Genomic DNA, 24,323 nt, shown 5'->3' with positions numbered 1-24,323 from the left:
AGGGTTTCACCATGTTGGCTAGGCTGGTCTCGAACTACTGACCTCGAGTGATCTCCCCACCTCGGCCTCCCAAAGTGCTGGGATTACAGGCATGAGCCACTGTGCTTAGCCACATTCAATACAATTTGCATTAAGTAAGCGATAATCTGGGTGGGCCTGATTCAGTTGGGTGGAAGGCCTTAAGAGCCTTACCCAGAGAGAACACAATGACATAGTGTAAACAGGTAAATCATTTATAGTAAGTCTCAGAGGTTAAAGGATTTGGGGGCAAACAAAAGGAATCTAGTTCTTTGTTTTCCTCTAATACTAAGGACATGCCACTAGCATCCTGACAAAAGCTCATTCCTCCTTTGCTTTGAGAGATCTGCTTTAAATCACTGGGGTTGTAACATCACTATATACTGTCCAGGAAATAATCCTAAGAAGATCTTGTACTAAAAATAATCTTGTATTTTTAGTAGAGACGGGGTTTCACCATATTGGTCAGGCTGGTCTCAAACTCCTGACCTCAGGTGATCCACCCTCCTCAGCCTCCCAAGTGCTAGGATTACAGGCGTGAGCCACCACTCCCAGCTTATTTTAATTTTTTTTTTAAGACAGAGTCTCACTCTGTCATCCAGGCTGGAGTGCAGTGGCACAATCAAGGCTCACTGTAGCCTTGACCTCCTGGGCTCAGGTGATCCATCTCAGCCTCCTGAGTAGCTGGGACTACAGGCACACGCCTCCACACCCAGCTAATTATTTTTTTTTTTTTCTTTTTTGGAGATGGGGTCTCACTATGTTGCCCAGGCTGGTCTTGAACTCCTGGGCTCAAGCAGTCATCCTGCCTCAGCCTCCCAAAGTGCTAGGATTGCAGATGTGAGCTACCATGCCTAGGCTGCTTTAATTCATTATTTTTTATTTTCATGTTTTTAAATAATATTATTATCTTGATTTTTCTTGACTTTTCAGTCTTACATATTGTCTGTTGACTTCCAAGAGGAAAGCTGTGTTAACTCCGCTAAAAATTGTACAAAATACGCTTAAAGTAGAAAGGAGGTCACATCCTTTATATAGGTCAGCTCATTTACCATTCTCTGAAGGTAGTAGACTGGTACTCCCTTGTTTTATAGACAAAGAAACTAAAATTCAGACAAGTTAAATTACCTCCACATGCTCACACAGCTCTGTCATGTTCTAGTGCATCAAACTCTAGTCTGAGTCCAAAGCCCGTTGTCTTTCTCACCAAACCAAATTACCTCCAGGACAGAGAAATCAGGAAAATTTCTAGAAAAGGGAAAGAAGTAATAAATAACAGTTGAGCCAGACCTTAAGGATGGACTGAATTTTCTGATGTATCTGTTTGATTATACGATACATATAAGGAAGGTGTGGGAGAAAAGTCTGGGAAGATAGTTTAGGCTTATGGCATGGAAAGCTAAGGTAAGAAGCTTAAAATTACATAGAAAGGCAGCATGTCATCAAAGGTTTTTGGACAGAGTATTAGAATTATCTCTGAGGAAGATTAAGTTAGAAGTAGTGGGTAGATAAAATAGATTGGAGGTAGAAGCCTAAAGTCAAAATGGTCCAGGAAAAGTATTAGTTGAAGAGATGGTGAGGAAAAGGTTGAAGTGAAAGATGATTGGGTCAGCTGGGCACGGTGGCTCACGCCTGTAATCCCAGCATTTTTGGGAGGCTGAGGCGGGTGGATCCCCTGAGGTCAGGAGTTCGAGACCAGCCTGACCAACATAGAGAAATCCGGTCTCCACTAAAAATACAAAATTAGCCAGGTGTGGTGGCACATGCCTGAAATCCCAGCTACTCGGGAGGCTGAGGCAGGAGAATTGCTTGAACCTGGGAGGTGGAGGTTGCGGTGAGGCAAGATCACGCCACTGCACTCTAGCCTGGGCAATAAGAGTGAAACTCTGTCTCAAAAAAAAAAAAAAAAAAAAAAAGAAAAAAAAATGATGGGATCACTAGAAGACGGTTTGCTGTTTGGTGGTTTCTTTCTCTGTTTTGTTATATTGTGGAAGCAATATATGTGACTTTGAATAGCATAGCAGCTAGCTGTCCTGGGCTCCCTCACCACTGCCCCCATCTGTCCCTTACTTGTCTCTTCCAGGCAAGACTAAACTCACTAAAATGTTTCCCTTGTTTTTTTTTTTTTTTTTTTTTGAGTTGGGGTCTTGCTCTGTCACCCAGGCTAAAGTGCAATGGTGCCATCATGGCTCACTACAGCCTTGAACTCCTGGGCTCAAAGGATCCTCTCACCTCAGCCTGCCCAGTGGTTCAGACTACAGGTGCATGCCACCACACCCAGCTAATTTTTTTCATTGTTTCTTTTTTTGTTTAGCAATGGGGTCTTGCTATGTTACCCAGGCTGGCCTCAAGCAATCCTCCCACCTCAGCCTCCTGAGTTACTGGATTACAGGCATGAGCCACTGTGCCCAGCTGTCTGAATTGTTTTTGACTCCCCATAGTACTGTGTCCTTTTAGGAGAGTTTTTTTGCCACTGATTCTCAGTTGTTTGGGTGATTGCTTTTCTGTGGGTGGGAGGAATTGTCCTAGATCTCTTTGAGGGTCTTATGAAAGTTTTTGACAGTTTCTAAACCCTGCATTAACATCTCAGTATGTGTAGACTCTCGTTAGGAGAATTATGAAACTTAACTCTTTAGAAGTTTTATAAACCCTTTGAGGCTTATGATTAAATGAAAGTGCTGATATTTAGAAGGTAGCAATCAAAATCCAATTAAGCTTTTTTTTTTGCTTTTTTTTTTTTTTTTTTTTAAACGGAGTTTTGCTCTGTCGCCAGGCTGCAGTGCAGTGGCACAATCTTGGCTCACTGCAACCTCCACCTCCTGGGTTCAAGCGATTCTCCTGCCTCAGCTTCCCAAGTAGCTGGGATTACAGATGCCCGCCACCACGCCCAGCTAATTTTTGTATTTTTAGTAGAGTCGGGGTTTCACCATGTTGGCCAGGATGTTCTCGATCCCCTGACCTCATGATCTGCCCACCTCAGCCTCCCAAAGTGCTGGGATTACAGGCGTGAACCACCAGGCCGGGCCAAGCCAGATTCTTTAAAGTGGCTCTATCTTCTCTGTAATTTGCTCCCTTGCCACTTTGATGACTCCAGATTCTACTCCTATTCCCATTGTCTTTTAACTCCCACTTCAGGGCCTTTATTCTTGCTGTTACCATTTCCTAGAACAATCCTTCCAGATACCTACCTCAAATGCTGCATCATCTGTCCATCTTTGTTCAGATACCACCTTTTCTTTGAGGCCTTCTCTTAAACACTGTCGTACATACAGTTTTGCACATACATTTTAGTTGTAGGATAAATTGCTAAAAATTAAGTTATTTGAGCAAATTATCTGCATGCTTAAAACGTGAATGACTACTGCCAAATGACCCTTCTAGTACTTGCTAACGTTTGCCAGTGTGAGCATCTACCATCACTTTTTTTTTTTTTTTGAGACAGAGTTTCACTCTCGTTGGCCAGACTGGAGTACAATGGCATGATCTTGGCTCACAGCAACCTCTGCCTCCTGAGTTCAAGCGATTCTCCTGCCTCAGCCTCCCCAGTAGCTGGAATTACAGGCATGCACCACGATGCCCGGCTAATTTTGTGTATTTTTAGTAGAGACGGGGTTTCTCCATGTTGGTCAGGCTGATCTCGAACTCCCGACCTCAGGTTGCAGTGAGCAGAGATCGCGCCACTGAATTCCAGCCTGGGCGATAGAGCGAGTCTGTCTCAGAATGAAATGACGTGACATGACATAACATGATGAAATGAATAATGAAATGCCGGGTGTGGTGGCACACTCCAGCCTGGGCAATAGAGCAAGTCTCTGTCTCGAAATGAAATGGAATGAAATGAAGAGAATAAATGAAATAAATGAAATGAAATAATAAAATGAATAATGAATTGCCAGGTGAAATGAAATGAAATGATGAAATGAATAATGAAATGCCAGGTGCAGTGGTGCACTCCAGCCTGGGCAATAGAGCAAGTCTCCGTCTCGAAATGAAATGAGATGACATGAGATGAAATGGGATGAAATGAAATAATGAACAATGAAATGCCGGGTGAAATGAAATGAAATGAAATGAAGAAATAAATGAAATATTGAAATGAATAATAAAATTCTGGGTGCGGTGATGCACTCCAGCTTGAGTGATAGAGTGAGACTCCGTCTTGAAATGAAATGATGAAATAATGAAACAAAATTAAATATGAAATGAAATGAAATACGAAATACTGGGTGCGGTGGCTCACGCCTGTAATCCTAGCACTTTGGGAGGCTGAGGACGGTGGATCACCTGAGGTCAGGAGTTCAAGACCAGCCTGGCCAACATGATGAAACCCCATCTCTACTAAAATACAAAAACTAGCCAGGCATGATAGCGGGTGCCTGTAATCCCAGCTACTTGGGAGGCTGAGAGAGGAGAATCGCTTGAACCCAGGAGGCAGAGGTTGCAGTGAGCAGGGATTGCGCCACTGCACTCCAGCCTGGGTGTTAGAACAAGCCTCTGGCTCGAAATGACATGACATGACATGACATGACATGGTGAAATGAAATAATGAAATGAATAATGAAATGCGTGTGGTGCACTCCAGCCTGGGCAATGCAGCAAGTCTCTGTCATGAAATGGATTGAAATTGAATGGGAATGGGAATATGGGAATGGAATAAATGAAATGAAGAAATATGAAATGCCAGGTGTGGTGGCGCACTCCAGCCTGGGTGATAGAGCGCGTCTCCGTCTTGAAATGAAATGAAATAAATGAAATGAGAAATGATGAGATGAAATATGAAATGCTGGGTGAAATGAATAATGAAATGCCAGGTGTGGTGGCGCAGTCCAGCCTGGGTGATAGAGCGAGTCTCTGTCTTGAAATGAAATGAAATGATCAAATGAAATGATGAAATGAAATAATGAAATGAATAATGAAATTCTGGGTGCAGTGGCGCACTCCAGCCTGGGCAATAGAGGGAGTCTCCGTCTCAAAATGAAATGAAATGAAATGATGAAATGAAATAATGAAATGAATAATGAAATGCCGGGTGAAATGAAATGAAATGAAAAAATGAAATAAATGAAATGATGAAATAATGCAATGAATAATGAAATGCCAGGTGCAGTGGCACACTCCAGCCTGGGTGATAGAGCGAGTCTCTATCTCAAATGGGATGAAATGAAATGAAGAAATGAAATAATGAATAATGAAATGCCAGGTGAAATGAAATGAAATGAAGAAATAATGAAATGAAATGAATAATGAAATGCTGGGTGTGGTGATGCACTCCAGCCTGGGTGATAGAGTGAGACTCCGTTTTGAAATGAAATGAAGGAGATGAAATGATGAAATAAATATGAAATGGAATATGAAATGCTGGGTGCAGTGGCTCACGCTTGTAATCCTAGCACTTTGGGAGGCCTAGGTGGGCGGATCACTTGAGGTCAGGAGTTCAAGATCAGCCTGGCCAACATGGTGAAACCCTGTCTCTACTAAAATACAAAAAGTAGCCGGGCATTATAGCGGGTGCCTGTAATCCCAGCTACTCGGGAGGCTGAGAGAGGAGAATCGCTTGTACCCAGGAGGTAGAGGTTGCGGGGAGCAGAGATCACACCACTGCACTCCAGCCTGGGCAATAGAACGAGTCTCCATCTCAGAATGAAATGACATGACATGATGAAATGAAATAATGAAATTAATAATGAAATGTGGGTGGCGCACTCCAGCCTGGGTGATAGAGTGAGTCTCTGTCATGAAATGAAATGGGAAATGAAATATGAAATGAATAATGAAATGCTGGGTGCACTCCAGCCTGGGTGTTAGAGCGAGTCTACGTCATGAAATTGAAAAATGAAATGAAATAGATGAAATGAAAAAATGAAATAATAATGAAATGCCGGGTGTGGTGGTGCACTCCAGACTGGGCGATAGAGCGAGTCTCTGTCTCGAAATGAAATGAAACAAATGAAATGAAATGAAGTGAGAAATGAAATGATGAAATGAAATACGAAATGCCGGGTGAAATGAAATGAATAATGAAATGCTGGGTGTGGTGGCGCACTCCAGACTGGGCGATAGAGCGAGTCTCTGTCTCGAAATGAAATGAAACAAATGAAATGAAATGAAGTGAGAAATGAAATGATGAAATGAAATACGAAATGCCGGGTGAAATGAAATGAATAATGAAATGCTGGGTGTGGTGGCGCACTCCAGCCTGGGTAATGGAGCGAGTCTCCATCGAAATGAAATGAAATGAGATGAAATATGAAATGAAATAAATGAAACTAAATGATAAAATGGAATAATGAAATGCCGGGTGCGGTGGCGCACTCCAGCCTGGGCAATAGAGCAAGTCTTCATCTGGAAATGAAACGAAATGAAATGAAATGATGAAATGAATAATGAAATGCTGGGTGAAATGAAATGAAATAAATGAATAATGAAATGCCAGATGCAGTGGCGCACTCCAGCCTGGGTGATAGAGCGAGTCTCTGTCTCGAAATGAAATGACATGGCATGACATGACATGACATGACATGATGAAATGAAATAATGAAATGAATAATGAAATGCTGGGTGTGGTGGTGCACTCCAGCTTGCGCGGTAGAGTGAGTCTTCATCTCTAAATGAAATAAAATGAAATGATGAAATGAATAATGAAATGCCAGGTGCGGTGGCGCACTCCAGCTTGGGCAATAGAGCAAGTCTCTTGTCTCGAAATGAAATGAAGTAAATGAATAATGAAATGCCGGGTGTGGTGGTGCACTCCAGCCTGGGCGATTGAGCGAGTTTCCATCTCGAAATGAAATGAAACTAAATGAAGAAATGAAATAATGAAATGAATAATGAAATGCTGGGTGCAATGAAATGAAGAAATGAAATAATGAAATGAAATGAATAATGAAATGTCAGGTGCAGTGGCATACTCCAGCCGGGGTGATAGAGTGAGTTTCCATCTTGAAATGAAAGAAATGAAATATGAAATGCTGGGTGTGGTGGCTCACACCTGTAATCCTAGCACTTTGGGAGGCCGAGGCAGGTGGATCACCTGAGGTCAGGAGTTCAAGACCAGCCTGGCCAACATGATGAAACCCCATCTCTACTAAAATACAAAAACTAGCTGGGCATGATAGCGGGTGCCTGTAATCCCAGCTACTTGGGAGGCTGAGAGAGGAGAATCGCTTGAACCCAGGAGATGGTGGTTGCCATGAGGCAAGATCGCGCCACTGCACTCCAGCCTGGGCAGCTGAGCGAAACTCTGTCTCAAAAAAATAAAAATAAAAATAAATAAATGAATAAAATAAATTACTCTCTATCTGACAGCTGCTAGTTTTTCCCTCATGATCTTTCTATTAAAATAGCTCTGTACCTACTATGTTGAGCCCTTCCTTTTTTTTTGACAGGGTCTCAGACTAGAGTACAGTGGTGTGATCATGGCTCACTGCCACCTCTGCTTCCTGGGTTCAAGTGATGCTCCCATCTCAGCCTCCCAAGATGCTAGGACTACAGGCACACGCCACCATGCCTGGCTAATTTTTTTGTGTTTTTTGTAGAGACGGGGTTTCACCATGGTGCCCAGGCTAGTCTCAAACTCCTGAGCTCAAGCGATCCACCCTGCCTTGGCCTCCCAAGTATTGGGATTACAGGTGTGAACCACCGCGCCCGGCCCCCTCTTTTTTTAAATTTCTGTATTTAAAGAGTACATTGGGGATTGGAAATAGTTTAGATCAGCAGGGATTAGCCATTCCCTAAATGTAAACTTCAGTGGTGCTATACTTAGAGTGCCCAAGGTCATTTCCAAATCCATGAATCTGGACGTTGAAGTTATATTCGTATTCCCACCACACAAAATTTATGTCTGTGCCCTGTCTTCTTGGGTCTATTTTTTAACCAGAAATTAATAAGACATTGATTTGCCTTTGTTAGAGTGATTTCAGTGTTTCGAGTTATTAAGACAGGAAGTGTGAGTCCCTGTTGGAATTCTGGGTCAGCAGATTATTTACCTCTTCTACAATTGCAATGGAAATTGAAATCTATTTGTCCTGTGACATAGAATTAATGAGTATTCTTTTTTGCTTTTTCTCTTCTGAGCCAAGAGCTTTCTTTTCATAATTTATGTTGGAGGTGTTCCAGACTATGTTATGTGACTACTGCAAGAAGGTCCTTGCCACAGAAAGTTAGACTCTCATTTCTTTTGACAATATCAAATATTCAGCCTTTTCCTCTGTCTTAAGAATACATATAATATGCCTTAAGTTAGATGCTATACCATAGTGGCTTCCCTTGTGTAAGAAAATGGAGTGGAGGGGGCTGAGCTGGAGCTTCCATGCCTATCTGTTGGGCTAGAAACACCTCCCACTCAACTCCAGCCATTTGCCACTCTGCATAATTAGTGTACCTCATTTATTCAGAAGAAGCTGGAATCCCAGATTTTTATGTGAAATCTCCTGTTTTTAAAATATTTGATCTTTTTCAACATAATTTGGCCCAACAAAACTCTTGCTGGCTTGAGTGCTGCCCTTGTACTGCCAATTGAAGTTTAACATTTGTCTAACCCTAAAGACTTTCAAAGTGAAATTATTTTTAGGTTCTTAACAAGGTTTTTCTATGCCAAGGTAAAATTTTCAAGGGCATATGAGGTATTTACTGTCTCACTCAGAGTTCTGTTTAAGTGATCACATGGGCATGCATGTTGGAGAAAGTGTTGTGAGCTCTTACAGATAAAGTTTGAAATGCAACCTATTTTCAATAGAAAAAAGCCTCTTACTCTCAGATATCTCAGAAAAACTTAGATTTTACAATCCTTTTAAGACTTAAGACTCTTAGGTCTGTGGAGTCAAAATGCTACGTGATATTTGTGGTGGATGAATTACTGAAAAACAGAATTCCTCAGCAAATCAAGTGTCTGATGCATAATAAACCAACCCAACAAAAAAAGCTGCCTTTCAGAGGCAAGAATATAGAACATGTGTAGTTAATTAAGCTATTTAAAACAGAAATGTTAGGCCTGGCACAGTGGCTCACGTCTGTAATCCCAGCACTTTGGGAGGCCAAGGCGGGAGGATCACAATGTCAGGAGATTGAGACCATCCTGGCTAACACAGTGAAACCCCGTCTCTACTGAAAATACAAAAACATTATCCGGGCATGGTGGTGGGTGCCTGTAGTCCCAGCTACTAGGGAGGCTGAGACAGGAGAATGGCGTGAACCTGGGAGGCAAGGCTTGCAGTGAGCCGAGATTGCACCACTGCACTCCAGCCTGGGCCACAGAGCAAGACTCCGTCTCAAAAAAAGAAATGTTATGAAAAATTTGGAAATATTTGTCACTAGCTGTATGACCTTTTGAAAAAGGTCCGCCTAATACCTTGCTCATCTATAAAATTGCGGTATGATTATCAATTTACAGGATTGTGGTGCATTTTAAATGAAACAAGTTCCATTAAGTGCTTATTGCTGAAGGTATAATTCAGTGAATGCTCTTTCCTTTTCTTAGAGCAGAGTTTGGTATTTTATTTTCACCTAAGCCATTTTGGTTCAGTTCTTAAGGCTTTGATTATTTTTTTAAGTTGAATGGTGTTTAGTGTGCCCATGTTCATAACAGCATATTATTCACAACAGCCATACAGGCTGGGTGTGGTAGCTCATGTCTATAATCCCAGCACTTTGGGAAGCCAGTGTGGGCAGATTGAGTCCAGGAGTGTAAGGGCAATATGGTGAAACCCTGTCTATACAAAAAATTAGCCAGTCTTGGTGGTGGGCACCTGTAGTCCCACTTACTGGGAAGGCTGAGATGGGAGAATCACCTGAGCCCAGGAGGTCAAAGCTGCAGTGTGCCTTCATTGTGCCACTGCACTCTAGCCTGGGCGACAGAGTGAGAAAAAAAAAAAAAAAAAAAGATAGATTCTAAGAGGCCAATGCAGGCAAATGGGCAGATTGCTTGAGCCCAGGAGTTGGAGACTAGCCTGGACAACATAGCTACTAAAAATACAAAAAATGAGCTAAGCATGGTGGTACATGCTACTCCCGAGGCTGAGGTGGGAAGATCACTTGAGCTTGGGGAGGTCAAGGCTGCAGTGAGCCGTGATCATGCCACTGCACTCCAGCCTAGGTGACCCTGTCTCAAAAAAAGAAAAATGTGGTATATACATAGAATATTATTCTGCCTGTAAAAAGGAAATTCTGGCTCTCCCTCTCACTCTCCCTCTCCCCACGGTCTCCCTCTCCCTCTCCCCACGGTCTCCCTCTCCCTCTCTTTCCATGGTCTCCCTCTGATGCCGAGCCGAAGCTGGACTGTACTGCTGCCATCTCGGCTCACTGCACCCTCCCTGCCTGATTCTCCTGCCTCAGCCTGCCGAGTGCCTGCGATTGCAGGTGCGCGCCGCCACGCCTGACTGGTTTTTGTATTTTTTTGGTGGAGACGGGGTTTCGCCGTGTTGGCCGGGCTGGTCTCCAGCTCCTAACCGCGAGTGATCTGCCAGCCTCGGCCTCCCGAGGTGCCGGGATTGCAGATGGAGTCTCGTTCACTCAGTGCTCAATGTTGCCCAGGCTGGAGTGCAGTGGCGTGATCTCGGCTAGCTACAACCTCCACCTCCCAGCCGCCTGCCTTGGCCTCCCAAAGTGCCGAGATTGCAGCCTCTGCCCGGCTGCCACCCCGTCTGGGAAGTGAGGAGCGTCTCTGCCTGGCCGCCCATCGTCTGGGATGTGAGGAGCCCCTCTGCCCGGGCTGCCCAGTCTGGGAAGTGAGGAGCGCCTTTTCCCGGCTGCCATCCCGTCTAGGAAGTGAGGAGCGTCTTGGCCCGGCCACCCATCGTCTGAGGTGAGGGGAGCACCTCTGCCCCGCCGCCCCGTCTGGGATGTGAGGAGCGCCTCTGCCTGGCCGCGACCCCGTCTGGGAGGTGAGGAGCGTCTCTGCCCAGCCGCCGTGTCTTGAGAAGTGAGGAGCCCCTCCGCCCGGCAGCTGCCCTGTCTGAGAAGTGAGGAGCCCCGCCGCCCAGCAGCTGCCCCCTCTGAGAAGTGAGGAGCCCCTCCGCCCGGCAGCCGCCCCGTCCAGGAAGTGAGGAGCGTCTCCGCAAGACAGCCGCCCCGTCCGGGAGGTGGGGGGGCAGCCCCCGCCTGGCCAGCTGCCCCGTCCGGGAGGGAGGTGGGGGGCAGCCCCTGCCCCGCCAGCCACCCCGTCCGGGAGGGAGGTGGGGGGCGCCTCCGCCCGGCTGCCGCCCCGTCTGGGCGGTGGGGGGCGCCTCTGCCCAGCCACCCCTTCTGGGAAGTGAGGAGCCCCTCTGCCCGGCCGCCACCCCGTCTGGGAGGTGTACCCAACAGCTCATTGAGAATGGGCCATGATGACGATGGCGGTTTTGTTGAATAGAAAAGGGGGAAATGTGGGGAAAAGATAGAGAAATCGGATTGTTGCTGTGTCTGTGTGGAGGGAAGTAGACATAGGAGACTCCATTTCTTTCTGTACTAAGAAAAATTCTTCTGCCTTGGGATGCTGTTGATCTATGACCTTACCCCCAACCCGGTGCTCTCTGAAACATGTGCTGTGTCCACTCAGGGTTAAATGGATTAAGAGCGTGCAAGATGTGCTTTGTTAAACAGATGCTTGAAGGCAGCCTGCTCCTTGAGAGTCATCACCGCTCCCTAATCTCAAGTACCCAGGGACACAAAAACTGCGGAAGGCCGCAGGGTCCTCTGCCTAGGAAAACCAGAGACCCTTGTTCACATGTTTATCTGCTGACCTTCCCTCCACTATTGTCCTATGACCCTGCCAAATCCCCTTCTCCAAGAAACACCCAAGAATGATCAATAAATACTAAAAAAAAAAAAAAAAAAAAAAAAATACTGCAAGAACATCTGCCCCAGAACTGCCTGTCCAACCTGGACTGACATCATCCTTGTTATTGATCTTTGTAGCCAAATATAATTATTTTAAAACAAACAAAAAAAGAGAATGTAAGCAGTATAAGACTTTAAAACACACAAATGAAATATACATGACTACATGCTTCAGTGAACTAAAACTTTCATCTGTAATCTTTATTTTGCAACATTCTGAAGTAACATTACAGTCTTTTCAGTGTGCTGTGTCATTTATATCCCTTACTTTATCCTAGGAATCCTGTATTGCCATTGAGCATATGCAGATTGAGACATGTGCATAGCTTCTCCCCGTTGAGCCCATCAGTGGGGAGGAGCTATGTACCGGGGACATTTGGCAAAGATTTTCACGAGTCTCTTGGATGTAACAGCTCCTTAAGAAAACCTCAGTTTACCTTCCCTATTTTTTTACCATTTGTAAAACTAAGGCTCAGTGATGTAAAATATAACACATTCTGTGCTGTGGCATAACTGCAGCTTAGGTTTTTATATTCAAGACAAGCAGAGGTATAGCTGAAAAGGTATGAACACTTACTATGCTTCAAGATCCCTTCGTTGGTTTAGTTGTGGCATTTTAGAACAGCTGACTTGGGACTAAAGCATCTTTCTATCTGGGATCAGTATTTCTAAGTTGCCTTTAAGCTGAATAAACATTTGGTTTTTATATTTAGTTGCTTCGATGTGAAACACTGCAATTTAAAAAATTACACATATGTAATATAGTATTTTACACTAAATAATAGTGACTGGCAGTCCATTGGCCGAAGAAGTATTATTTTTCAGATATTCTGCTCTGTCATCAGCTATAGACACTGACAGGTATTTATCTGGAAAGGCTTGCTGTCAGGGGTTCACAGTGCTGCTTGTGGGTTATCTCCAGACCCTTTACATTTGGCACTTTAGGACAGCGTGAGTCACAGGTTGCACTAGAAGTTGCCTTTGAAATTAGACCTAAACTATGTGGAACTGGAACCCTTGTACACAAAGCTCTCTATCATCCAAATCCTGCTGAACTCTCTTAGGAAAGAACAGTTTTACAGATTCATTCTTTCCACACACAAGATTTCCCCACTGCCCAGTTACTCTCACCTTTTTATTTTCTTGACTGTTATGTTTTACTTGACTCTGGAATCTTACCTTGTACTCTCACATTTACATGGAAGTATAGCTTATTTCACCAATTATACTATCAAAAGCAGAAGTAGTTACTTACACCTGAAAATTTGTACTGAGAATGTAGCTGTGAATATGTTTAAGAAAGTATACTTAAAGCAGAAATCCAAGGAAGTATATTTAAATCAAAGCAAGAAATCCCATTTCCAAATGGCAATAAAGCATGTGTTACATAGAATCAGTGCATGAAAGTGTTTTAGTAGCCCAGATTAGATTGTACCCTGGCGAATAAGCAAGAGTTCTTTTTCATTTTCATCTTGCAATTCAACTGGGTATTTGGGTTCTTTTTCTATTCACTCATGTCAGATAGAGACATGCATGTTGTAAATTATTTTGTCAGAATGAAAGCCTGGCAGATTAAATGCTTTCTTCTCTTCTTGCTTTACTTGATATCAATCTCTTGTTCATTTCTTGATAATATGTTTGGTTATTTTTGTTTTCATTGCTTTTAGTGTCAGAGATGGCTTTGGATTCCCCATTCTGTGTGCTGCTGTCTGGCTCCTGAACCCACCTGTAGAGGTGTGTCAATCCCAGCTGGTGAAGTACTGAGAAGAAGCTACACAAAAGGCATCAAAGTATTAGTAAGTGTACCTCTGACATTTTAACCACCTCTGACTTTTCCATGGAATGGACAAGTAGTAGTCTCTGTCAGAGCTACATTTTAAAGGAGAAAAAGAAACGTGAAGTCATGAACTGTTTATTTATGCTGTTATTTTTGTGTTTACTCACCTCATTTATATTGACTTGTAAATTAGTAATTTCTGAACTATTACTTATCAATTCATTGCCTACATGTCAGCAAACAAATTTTCTTCTTAATAAAGAATACAGTTGCTGGGCACAATGGTTCACACCTGTAATCTCAGCACGTTTGGAGGGCAAGGCAGGAGGATTCCTTGGGGCCAGGAGTTCAAGACCAGCCTGGGCAATATAGCAAGATTTCATCTCTACAAAAAAATGAAAACATTGGCTGGGCATAGTGGCTCATTCCTATAGTTCAGGCTACTGAGGAGCCTGATGTAGGAGGATCACGTGACCCCAGTAGTTTGAGGCTGCAGTGAGCTATGATCCTAACACTGCTCTCCAGCCTGGGTGACACACCAAGTTGCCATCTCTTCAAAAAAGGAATCTAGAGACATCAGTGTGTGCACAAGCATGGTTTGTGAATTTGGAAGTGTGTATGTGCGTAGTTTTGCTCAAGAATGTGTTGATGATTATACCTTCTCAGAATGAAGGTAATTTTTTTTCTTTTCTTTTTTTTTTGAGATGGAGTCTTGCTCTGTTGCCAGGCTGGAGTGCAGTGGTGCTCTCAGCTCACTGCAACCTCTGCCTCCCGGGTTCAAGCAGTTCTCCTGCCTCAGCCTCCCAAGTAGCTGGGACTACAGGCACACACCACCACTCCCGGCTAATTTTTTGTGTTTTAGTAGAGACGGGGTTTTACCATGTTGGCCAGGATGGTCTCGATCCCCCGACCTTGTGATCCACCCACCTTGGCCTCCCAAAGTGTTGGGATTACAGGTGTGAGCCACCGTGCCTGGCCTGAAGGTCATTTTTATAAAGATCTCTCCACGTCTTAGATTTGATTCTTCCTTTAAATATTTTTCTCATTGACATTTGAAAGCACCTGACCTTATATAAAATGAACAATTTTCATAACTCCATAAAAGGAGAATTATGGCATCATCTATTTCTTTCTCTTGTCTCATAAATCTAAACCATCAACCTGCTTATTTTTGTATACTGTCACACTGTGTATTCCCTGCATTGAATGCCTGTCTGTTGACATTGTCTGTAAAAATTGTGGGAAGTTTTCTGCACCCTGAAATTTCTGTTATGCGGATTAAATATCCACTATCCATGTTTTTCCAAGTCTTACAGTAGAAAGGGTAAATGCAGCCCTCACAGCAGCCTGTTGTTCGTCCTGCAAATGTGTTTCCATCACATTACACAAAGCCTCTTTGTCTTCGTGGTTCTACCCTACTAATAAGTTTTTAAAAAAATTATGTAATGTGTGTATATACAAATACCTATATGTATGTGTGTACACATACAGCTGATATCTGCTGAGATTATGTATGCATGAACTATAGAATTAACTTGTAATTTTAAGAAAATAAATTATTTTGTAAAGATAAATCTCATGTTTAAGAAGAGGAATTACAGTTGAATCATTTAGGGATGCCTCAGCCTAAACATAATATGGAAAAAGCCATAACCAAAAGTCATTTTAGAGTACTGCTAGGTTACTCAACCTATCATCACATTTAATTAAAATGTCAGTTTGAACCATGGCCAGTCTATGTTGGTTAATATGTTATTTAAATCAACTTGTGAAGTCTTCATTTTAAATATAGAATTTGTGTTAATGGACTGGAAAATAACATTCTATTGCTTGGAAGATGTGTTAAAGTCTAAAGATTTATGACTTTGTAAAAGAAGAAAACCAGGTGATGATCAGTTGGCATTAGTATATGAGGATGTACTCATATTTGGTAATAGCCATTTTTTTCTAACTAGAGTAAGGGAGTTGGGAATGGGAGGCAGAAGCAAGGACACAGACATGTAAAAAATCATAGAACAAAACTGTATTGAGTTCTGAGTATGGGTCTGTGATCCATGGTTCAGTTTGAGAGGTTCATGTGTCCCTTATGAGAAGGGACAGGAAAGCCAGGAGGAAAGGAGTATGTTTGGGCCTGTGCCTCTGCTTCCGCCACAAAAGTCAGCAGCTCTACCTTTCTCTTTTCTCCTCTTTATCTAATAATTGTCTCCTCTTCAAATTTGGGAAATGAGCTTAATCAAAGATTTGTTGTGTTTTGTTTGTTTGTTTGTTTTTGAAATGTGGCCTCAGTGTGTTTGCCCAGGCTGATCTTAAACTCCTGGGCTCACATGATCCTCCCTCTCAGCCTCCTGAGTAGCTGGGACTACAGGCATGATCCACTACACCCAGCTAAGTTAATGCTAATGTGTAGTTTATCTGCTTCAATTTTGAAGGGTAGGATATATATAGTTATGTGTGTGTGTGTGTGTGTGTGTGTGTGTGTGTGTGTGTGTGTGTGGTGGGGGGGTAGTGTTTGTGTGTGTGTGTGTATATATATATTTATATATTACTAGTCCATTGCTGCTACAACAAACTACCACTATGTCAGGGCATAAAACAAATTTATTACACTCCTGTATGTCAGAGTATGATGTGGATCTCACTGGGCTAAAATCTAGGTGGTGGAAAGGCTACCTTCATCTCTAGAGGCTCTAGGGGATCTTTTTTCTCGCCTTTTCCACATTCTGGAGTCTGCCTGCATTTTTTGGCTTTGGGCTCTTCTCCACTCTCACCATTAGCAACCTTGCATCCCATGGACCCTTCTTCTGTGGCCACATGTCTCTGTGGCTCTTTCCTTCCCCCTTCTCTTCCACTGTTAAGGACTCATGTGCTTACTTAGTCCTGAATGGACACACCGTCATCATCCACATGAGCCCACTGTCCTAATCCATACAGGCTGCTACAAGGAAATGCATTAGACCAGGTAGCTTATAAATAACAGAACTTCGTTTCTCACAGTCCTGGAGGCTGAGAAATGCAAGATCAAGGTGCCGGCAGTCTTGGTGTCTGGTGAAGGCCTGCTTTCTCATAGAGGCTTCCTTCTTGCTGTGTCTTCGCATGGTGAGAGGAACAAACAAGCTCCCTTGTGCCTGTAATAAGGTGCTAATCCCAGTCATGAGGGCAGAGTCTCCCGTAAGGCTTAACCTCCTAATACCATCACCTTGAGGGTTAGGATTTTAACACATGAACATTGACGGAACACAACGTTCATTCCATAGCACCAGGGTAGTCTCCTCATGTCAAGGTCTTTACCTGAATCACATGCATGATGTACCGTTTTCATGTAAGGTTCTAGGAATCTGTGGACATCTTTGGGGGGCCATTATTTTGCCAATCACATATTACATATATTTTAATATCCTAGACTAGTATGAAAACAATGCCACTTCCATTGCTTTATATATGTATATATATATACACATTGTCTAATGCTATAATTAAAAAAAAGTTGTAGACACAAATATACCCATTTAAAAAAAAACCCATTTTTTTCTATTTTACTTCATACTGCCAACTCCTTTTTCCTGAAACTGCTTCAACTCTGGAATTCTTTTTTGCTATTAGTTTTATTTTATTGAAGTATTCATGAACAAGCATACACTTGTATATGGATTTAAAATTCACAGTAATGTTTTCATGAATTCATCTGTGAATAACATTTTATAGACAAAATGTCTGCACTAGGACAAGAGAAAGATGTATAATTACCTTGTTCTAAGGTACCGCCATTCATTGTTATTATTTTAAAATACGAGTGTCGACTGATGTTAAAACACAAAATGGGGCCGGGAGTGGTGGCTCCCGCCTGTAATCCCAACACTTTGGGAGGTGGGTGGATCACCTGAGGTCAGGAGTTTGAGACCAGCCTGGCCAACATGGTGAAACCCCGTCTCTACTAAAAATACAAAAATTAGCTGGGCATGTGTTGCGCGCCCGTAATCTTAGCTACCCGGGAAACTGAGTCAGGAGAATTGCTGGAATCTGGGAGGCGGAGGCTGCAGTGAGCCGAGATCACACCAGTGCACTCCAGACTGGGTGACAGAGCGAGACTCTGTTCTTCCCCCCACCCCCCCCAAAAAAAAACCACAAAAAGGGATAATTGGCCGGGCACAGTGGCTCATGCCTGTAATCCCAGCACTTTGGGAGGCCAAGGTGGACAGATCACCTGAGACCGGGAGTTCAAGACCAGCCTGACCAACATGGAGAAACCCTGCCTCTACTAAAAATGCAAAAATTAGCCGGGCATGGTGGCACATGCCTGTAATCCCAGCTACTCAGGAGGCTGAGGCAGGAGAATTGCTTGACTTTGGGAGGTGGAGGTTGCTGTGAACCAAGATTGCACCATTGCACTCTAGCCTGGACAACAACAGCAAAACTCTGTCTCAAAAAAAAAAAAAAAAAAAAAAAAGATTTATAACTGGGCAATGGAATTGAAAATCATTTTTAAAAATATCCAAAATATCTAAGGAACTTGTATAAATAAATAGGAAAAAAAAAAAGAAAAACATCAAGAAGCCCACAAAAAAGCAGATTTGTAAATGGGCAATGGATTTCAATAGACATTTAGCCACAGAAGATATCCAGTTGGTGAAAAGGCATATGGAAAGGTGCTCAGCATCACTGATTATCAGGAAAATGAAAATCAAAACCACCACGAGTGGTTTAGACCATAGCGGCATGCATGAAAGTTTTCAGACCTCCAGTTGTTGGGAGTGGCTGAGGAGATTGGGGAGCTTCTGTCTGAGTTGGAAGAGTGGAGTCTCAACAAGAACCATTGTATTCTGGACATGTGTGGGCCCTGGAGTGTGCAAGGCTGGATGCCTTGTCTGCCTGTGCCTTACAGAGTGACACCATTGTGGTGTGGTTGATCAGAGGTTTGTTTGCCCACGGATGAAAGCAAAAGTGAGTTGGCTTCCCAAGAACTTTTACCAGTAGCCTGTTTTGCTACAATTCTCGACCCAGACTGGGGTCCCAAGGCATCATAGCCCACAGCTTCTTAGCAAGTGCATGTTCAGTTGGATCCCCCAGCTCAGCCTGGGTCATCCCCACCTTTTGCCTCTTGGGCCATAGCTCAGCTCTGCACACTGAGCCATCATCCTATGGTGAGCAAGACCCCATTCTTGGGCTTCAGTCTCTTTCCTTGCAGCAGGCAATCAAGGTGGTGGCTGGAAAGGGCCAAGGAGCCACATCTCACAGTGCCCTGCTGCCTGAACAAGGACCAGAGGCCTGTGGAACACATGGCTCTCAGATTTCTCCCATTTGATGACTCATCAGCTGCCCCCACATGGCTTCCTAGCTCACAGCAGATCTAGCCTTCTCTGAGCAGTGAAGATGGGATGTTTTGTGGTCATTTTCCCTGGTGCGCAGAGCCCAAGTGGAGTTCTTCAGCACCCTACACCATCCCCTCACTAACACCCCCACCTGTCCAGTCTTACCTGCCTTCATATCAAAAGCACACAGTTAACCCAGAGGGCTTCTGCCCTGCCCTGCCTGACTTTCTGGGAAACCCCCCTCTCCACCCACCCTAATCAGGACACTGTCTGAAGGTTCCCCCTCATCATTTTAAAAGAAAGAAATTTTTCTGCCACAGAGGTTCTGGTGAAGTGGCCTGCTCCCACATCACAGGGTGATGGCGGTTTGGGCTGGACCAGGATCAGACAGTGCTGTCCTGAGGCTGGCCGTCTGATAAGGGGCTACAGAAAGGGCAGTGGTGGAGCCCTGGGAGGCTTTCTGCTCTCCTGATCGCAGGTTTTTGGTGAGAGGACCTATTGGCCACTAGGGTGTCTGCGTGCGTGCGTGCGTGTGTGTGTGTGTGTGTGTGTGTGTGTGAGATGTGTGTTTACTTGGATTGACTTCTTTCAGCATGAAGCCCACTGTTTTGCTGAATGTATCTCACTGTTTCCTGAAACTCAGTACATTCAGCTGGCTTAAGGGTCCTGGGGCCTCGCTGTGTCATATTTGCACAAGCCTAGTGTCTGTGCAGACTGTACACTGGAGTTCAGTTGTAAGACCCTTTTGATCCCTTATTCTGTTCCTGTAGTAGAAAAGGCATTTCACTCAATGGAATAGAAACCCAGATCCAATGGAGAGATGTTCTAATCTGCCATACACTGGGGCAGTGGCCAGTGATTTGGACTTTGTGGCACAGATGGAAATTTCCAGGTTCTCTAGGTGGTAGGCAGAGGCCTCACTTTTTAAGAAACTCCCCCACTCCACCCCTGCCAATGAGGACGTTGCTTAGAGGTATTTCTATCAGTGTTGAGTAGAAGAGATCATTTCTTGATGTTGAATTTCAGGTAAGGATGCCAGCTTCTGCGTATCAGGGTGGTGATGCTTGGGCTGAGACAGGTCTAGACAGCACTGTCTGAAAGGGGGCTCAAGGAAGTAGCTGTGAAAGGCCCCTGGGATGTTTTCTGCTCCCCTTCCTGCAAATCCCCTGGAGGGAGATCCTGTTAGTCACTACGGGATGTGTGTGTGTGTGTGTGTGTGTGTGTGTGTGTGTGTGTGTTCATCACTTGTTGCTTGGGGGTGGGAAGAGACAACAACAACCTACAGAATCCAGAGTTCTCAGTTCATCTCCCATCCTAGTCCAATCATGGCCTAACATCCTTAGCTACCGATCGCAGAGGAGACTGTGCATTTGTGTTCATGTGGCCTTGGATGTTGGCAGATTCAGATTGGTGCCCCAGGCATCTGTGCCTGTAACTGCAGTTTCAGCGGGCTCAGGACCAGGCTAAAGGGCCTCCAAGCTTCCTCCAGTTTCCTGGTGCATGCATGTGCAATATGCTCCCCTGGCCTGGGTCTTTCCTGCCGCTTCTTGCCAGTTGGGTCAGAACTAGCTTATTAACCAGTTTTTTCTGAGCTTTAATCGAACTGGCTCCAACCAGTTGGAGACTTGAAAAGGGCTACGTGATAGTTATAGATTTTTAAAGATATATTATTATTTTAGAGTAGTATTGAGTGTACAGCAAAATGGAGTACAGGGTCCAGAGATCTCATATGGCCTCAATTCCTGTATACTCTCGGGTCACTCCACCAACAACCTCCTACACCAGAGCCACTTTGAAACATTAGAAAATATATTTGAGCATTCAGAAATGTATAAACTAGGCAGCCCCAGACTGCAAGCAGCTCAGAGGTCCCACAGAGAGGCTTAGGGAGGGTGGGGGAAGAATTTTATATGGTGAATGTGGAAGAAAAAGAAAATACTTGATTGGGTGAAGTGGAGCAGTGGCCTCATTTGGAACATTACAGTGGAAGGTCTCTAGTTAGATGTTAGTTGGTGGTTTCTGACTGGTTAAACTTAAGTTTCCTTTTATTATTTACACTGAGTCAAGTTTTGGGTTATTTAAGGAGGAATTGAGTGCACTGCAGCCACCTCAGCCTCATGGCCACCTGTTTATTTGATTATTTTTAACAGAGAAGATCCTTTAAAAAATATCTGTTACCCTGGCTGGAGTGCAGTGACGTGATCACGGCTCACTGCAGCCACAACCTTCCAGCTCAGGTGATCCTCCCACCTCAGTGCTCCCCACCCTGAGTAGCTGGGACTACAGGCATGTGCCACCACACCACCATGCTAGGCTAATGGTTTGTATTTGTTTGAGAGATGCAGTTTCCCTAAGTTGCTTAGGCTTCTTTTTTAGACTCAAATAATCTGCATGCATTGGCCTCCCTTAGTGCTGGAATTACAGGCCATCTAAATCTTTTATCTCAGGTTTGCCTTGTGACAAAAGGAGGGGTACTTTTTCTGACATGAGGCAGAGAAAGGTGAGGTGGGCGCATCCTGTGCATATGATTTTCTCAGGTGATGGGAATATGGTTGGCTCTTGACTAATGGGATATATTTTCTCTTTGAATGATTTGGCAAGATATCAGATGAGAGAAGTTGAATGAATGTTAGAAGAACATAGAAAAAATAGGTTATACACGTTGGGTTTCTGAAGAAATGATGTCTTTGGAGAAACAAAACTTTTATTGATTTCTGGAAACATTTAGGGCCAATTTTTTATGTAAGTAATTTGAATTTATGATGATATCTCTGACCACTTTTTGATATTTTTTCTGGTTCAGGTGAGTGGTGTCATTGAGCAAACACAAAGTCGGGCTCATCCAAGGATGAGATTTTGCCAGAGAAAGGACGAGCAGCAAGTCAGGGAGCTTAAGGTAATTATGGGAATGTGACTATCTGCAATTGCTTAGGTAGAAGGAGACAGATTGGATTTTTGTGTGTTTGGTATTTGGGATAAGAGGGATGTGGGTGTGTACTTGACATGGGTTGTTTATTCTCTGTCTCTCTCTTTTTCTCTCTTTTTTTTTTTTTTTTTTTTTTTTTGAGAGGGAGTCTCACTCTGTCGCCCATGCTGGAGTTCTGTGGCACAGTCTTGGCTCACTGCAACCTCTGCCTCCCAGGTTCAAGGGATTCTCCTGCCTCAGCCTCCCGAGTAGCTGGGATTACAGGTGCCTGCCACCACGCCCGGCTAATTTTTGTGATTTTTTTTTTAGTAGAGACGAGGTTTTACTACGTAGGCGAAGTTGGTCTCGAACTCCTGACCTCAGATGATCCACCCGCCTCAGCCTCCCAAAGTGCTGGGATTACAGGCGTGAGCCACCGCACCTGGCCTGTTTATTCTCTTAAGAGAGAAAATGAGGGGATTAGTGGACTGTAGTTCTGGACAAGGTGGAAAACTCTTAAAGTGGAAGTATTGGGGCAAGTGCTCTGACAGGCTAGGATGGTGCAGTCAGTCCCTTCACCCAGAAATCAGTAGAATGTTAACAGTTCAGACTCAAACCTTGTGAAAAACAGGTTCTAGAAAGGAAATCCCTCACAGCAACTGGCACCATAATCAAGACAGAATTTTTGCAGAATAAATAGAGTTACCTGCTTTCAGCCCCAGGTCGTAGCTATTGTCTGCCCTGCTGATATGTGATAATAATTTGTGATCCTGTTGTCTTAAAATGGGGTCACTCATCTCCAGTAGAATTAAGTCCACAGTGAAGTTGTCCCCCCATCCCCAGAGATAAACATATATGAATGAACTTACGTGATAACAACTACTGCTGCCTGGGATCATGAGAGACCTGAACTGAACTGATAGGAAGTGAAAGGTGGCTGAGGTAATGAGAATAGACCCATCTGCAGAGGATCATAAAACCAGCAAAGACAAGATCTTGTCTAAGATGCCTTCACAAACTTTGTCCATGAGAACTGTAAGGTCTTCTCCAGACCTGTTGGCTGCTGCTGTGATCTCTGCCCAAGAGGAGCTTCTGACCAACATCCAAAGGGCTTCTGGACCCACTGGACTCCTCTGGAGGTACCTTGGTCTCCCGATCCATGGCTGTGTTTTTTTACTCCCTTTATCGCTGCCTGTGTGTAGAATGATAATTGCACAATTGATAGTGTGAAGACCTCTTGATAAATGGTAAATCTGAGCATATGTATTTGGCTGACATGTCATTGTGAAACCTCACAGCTTCAGTCAGTGTCAGCACAGCTAGGGAGCATGTACCTAATGCACATATCACTGGGCATAGTCTACAGGCACCTAATAACCCAGGTACCTTAACAGTCACTAATGCGTGTCTCTCCAAGGTCTAAACAATGGAAGACTGTAGAAGATGTTATTCATTAAGATATCTCAAGAATGTGGAAGACTATTATTCGCTTCTAAAGGGACAGGACTTCATAGGGCACCTGAAGAAACTCCCATGAAAAATCACTTTTACAAAATGTCAAGTTATGATATCCAAGATGAAACCAATGAGTCACAACATTCACATAATACACTGTACAACCCTGATCTCTTGACTGTCATCAAATGTTTCTTACCTCTAAACCAAAGTTTCATTTTATAATTTAATTTTTCTCATTTTTTCTGTTCTCTTAGCTTAAGAAAAGATCATTACAGACTTTTTGTAAGTTTTTCATATATGCTTGCAAAGGGTTGTAAAACTTTATTGTGATTATTCTTGCTTTAAGCTGAAACTTCCCTAATCTTTCTTTAGAGATTGTGGCATAGCATGTTAGTTTCTTTTCCATATCCAATTGTTTTCTGTAATGAATACAGAAATATGGGCACTATTTTGTAACTTTAAATAGACATCATCTCAAGTCTACAAGAATTATCCAAAATGGTATTTAATGACATTTCTAGGTCTTCAGACACTATTAATGCAGATTGTAGCCTCTAGGTCCTGAAGATTTTACTAGATACTGGTTACTGAAACTGAGCTTTCTTGAATTATTTTTCCTTCCACTGTGGTTTCCCGCATTTCAACACATCACCTATTTTTGTCCTCAAACATTACTTAAATTTTTTCCACAGAATTAAATTAAATATGAATCATCCCTCCTCTGATTTTTGAAATGACCCTTTGCTTCCTATGATAATGATTCTTCTGGTCCATTTTGTAGTTATATGTTAGAGTTTGTAAATAGTCACACATTTTGCAACTGCATATAATTTTCTTATTATTTTTTCCTCTTCCTCTAAACCTGCTGTTATTTCTTTTAACTTTTTGTGGGAAAAATTAAACCCATCTTTCACTTTGTTGATATACTTATTTATAATTGAACTCCTTGATTTTTGCTCAAATTGCTTTTCAAGTTACCCACTTTTAGGGAAGACATTATTTGGGTTTTGTTTAGTGTATCAGGCTTTTTTTAGTTAGTTGTATCAAG

General features: G+C 43.3%; 1 protein-coding gene and 3 pseudogenes across 6 annotated transcripts in view; 3 read left to right on the top strand and 1 right to left on the bottom strand.

Moving 5' to 3' along the window:
• PARGP1 (PARG pseudogene 1) overlaps nt 1-21,776 on the top strand; it is a 117,594-nt pseudogene extending 95,818 nt beyond the window's left edge. Inside the window, exons 12-13 of the transcript NR_029388.2 lie at nt 13,497-13,625; nt 21,716-21,776. The product of NR_029388.2 is annotated as a PARG pseudogene 1 (transcript). The remainder of the gene's footprint in view (nt 1-13,496; nt 13,626-21,715) is intronic.
• PARGP1-AGAP4 (PARGP1-AGAP4 readthrough) overlaps nt 1-24,323 on the top strand; it is a 146,781-nt pseudogene that overhangs the window by 95,764 nt on the left and 26,694 nt on the right. For both annotated transcript variants that reach the window (NR_160518.1, NR_160519.1), the window contains exons 8-10: nt 13,497-13,625; nt 21,716-21,808; nt 21,981-22,956. The product of NR_160518.1 is annotated as a PARGP1-AGAP4 readthrough, transcript variant 1 (transcript). The remainder of the gene's footprint in view (nt 1-13,496; nt 13,626-21,715; nt 21,809-21,980; nt 22,957-24,323) is intronic.
• RNA5SP310 (RNA, 5S ribosomal pseudogene 310) lies at nt 20,189-20,304 on the bottom strand (annotated as a pseudogene).
• AGAP4 (ArfGAP with GTPase domain, ankyrin repeat and PH domain 4) overlaps nt 21,921-24,323 on the top strand; it is a 29,097-nt gene continuing 26,694 nt past the window's right edge. For all 3 annotated transcript variants that reach the window (NR_171664.1, NM_001393377.1, NM_001393378.1), the window contains exon 1: nt 21,921-22,956. The gene's annotated coding sequence lies outside the window, so the exon portion shown is untranslated. The remainder of the gene's footprint in view (nt 22,957-24,323) is intronic.

This window comes from Homo sapiens, chromosome 10 (genome assembly GCF_000001405.40).
Source record: "Homo sapiens chromosome 10, GRCh38.p14 Primary Assembly".
NCBI lineage: Eukaryota > Metazoa > Chordata > Mammalia > Primates > Hominidae > Homo > Homo sapiens.
The sequence above is the reverse complement of the archived record's forward strand: the minus strand, read 5'-3'. Positions and strand labels throughout refer to the sequence as shown.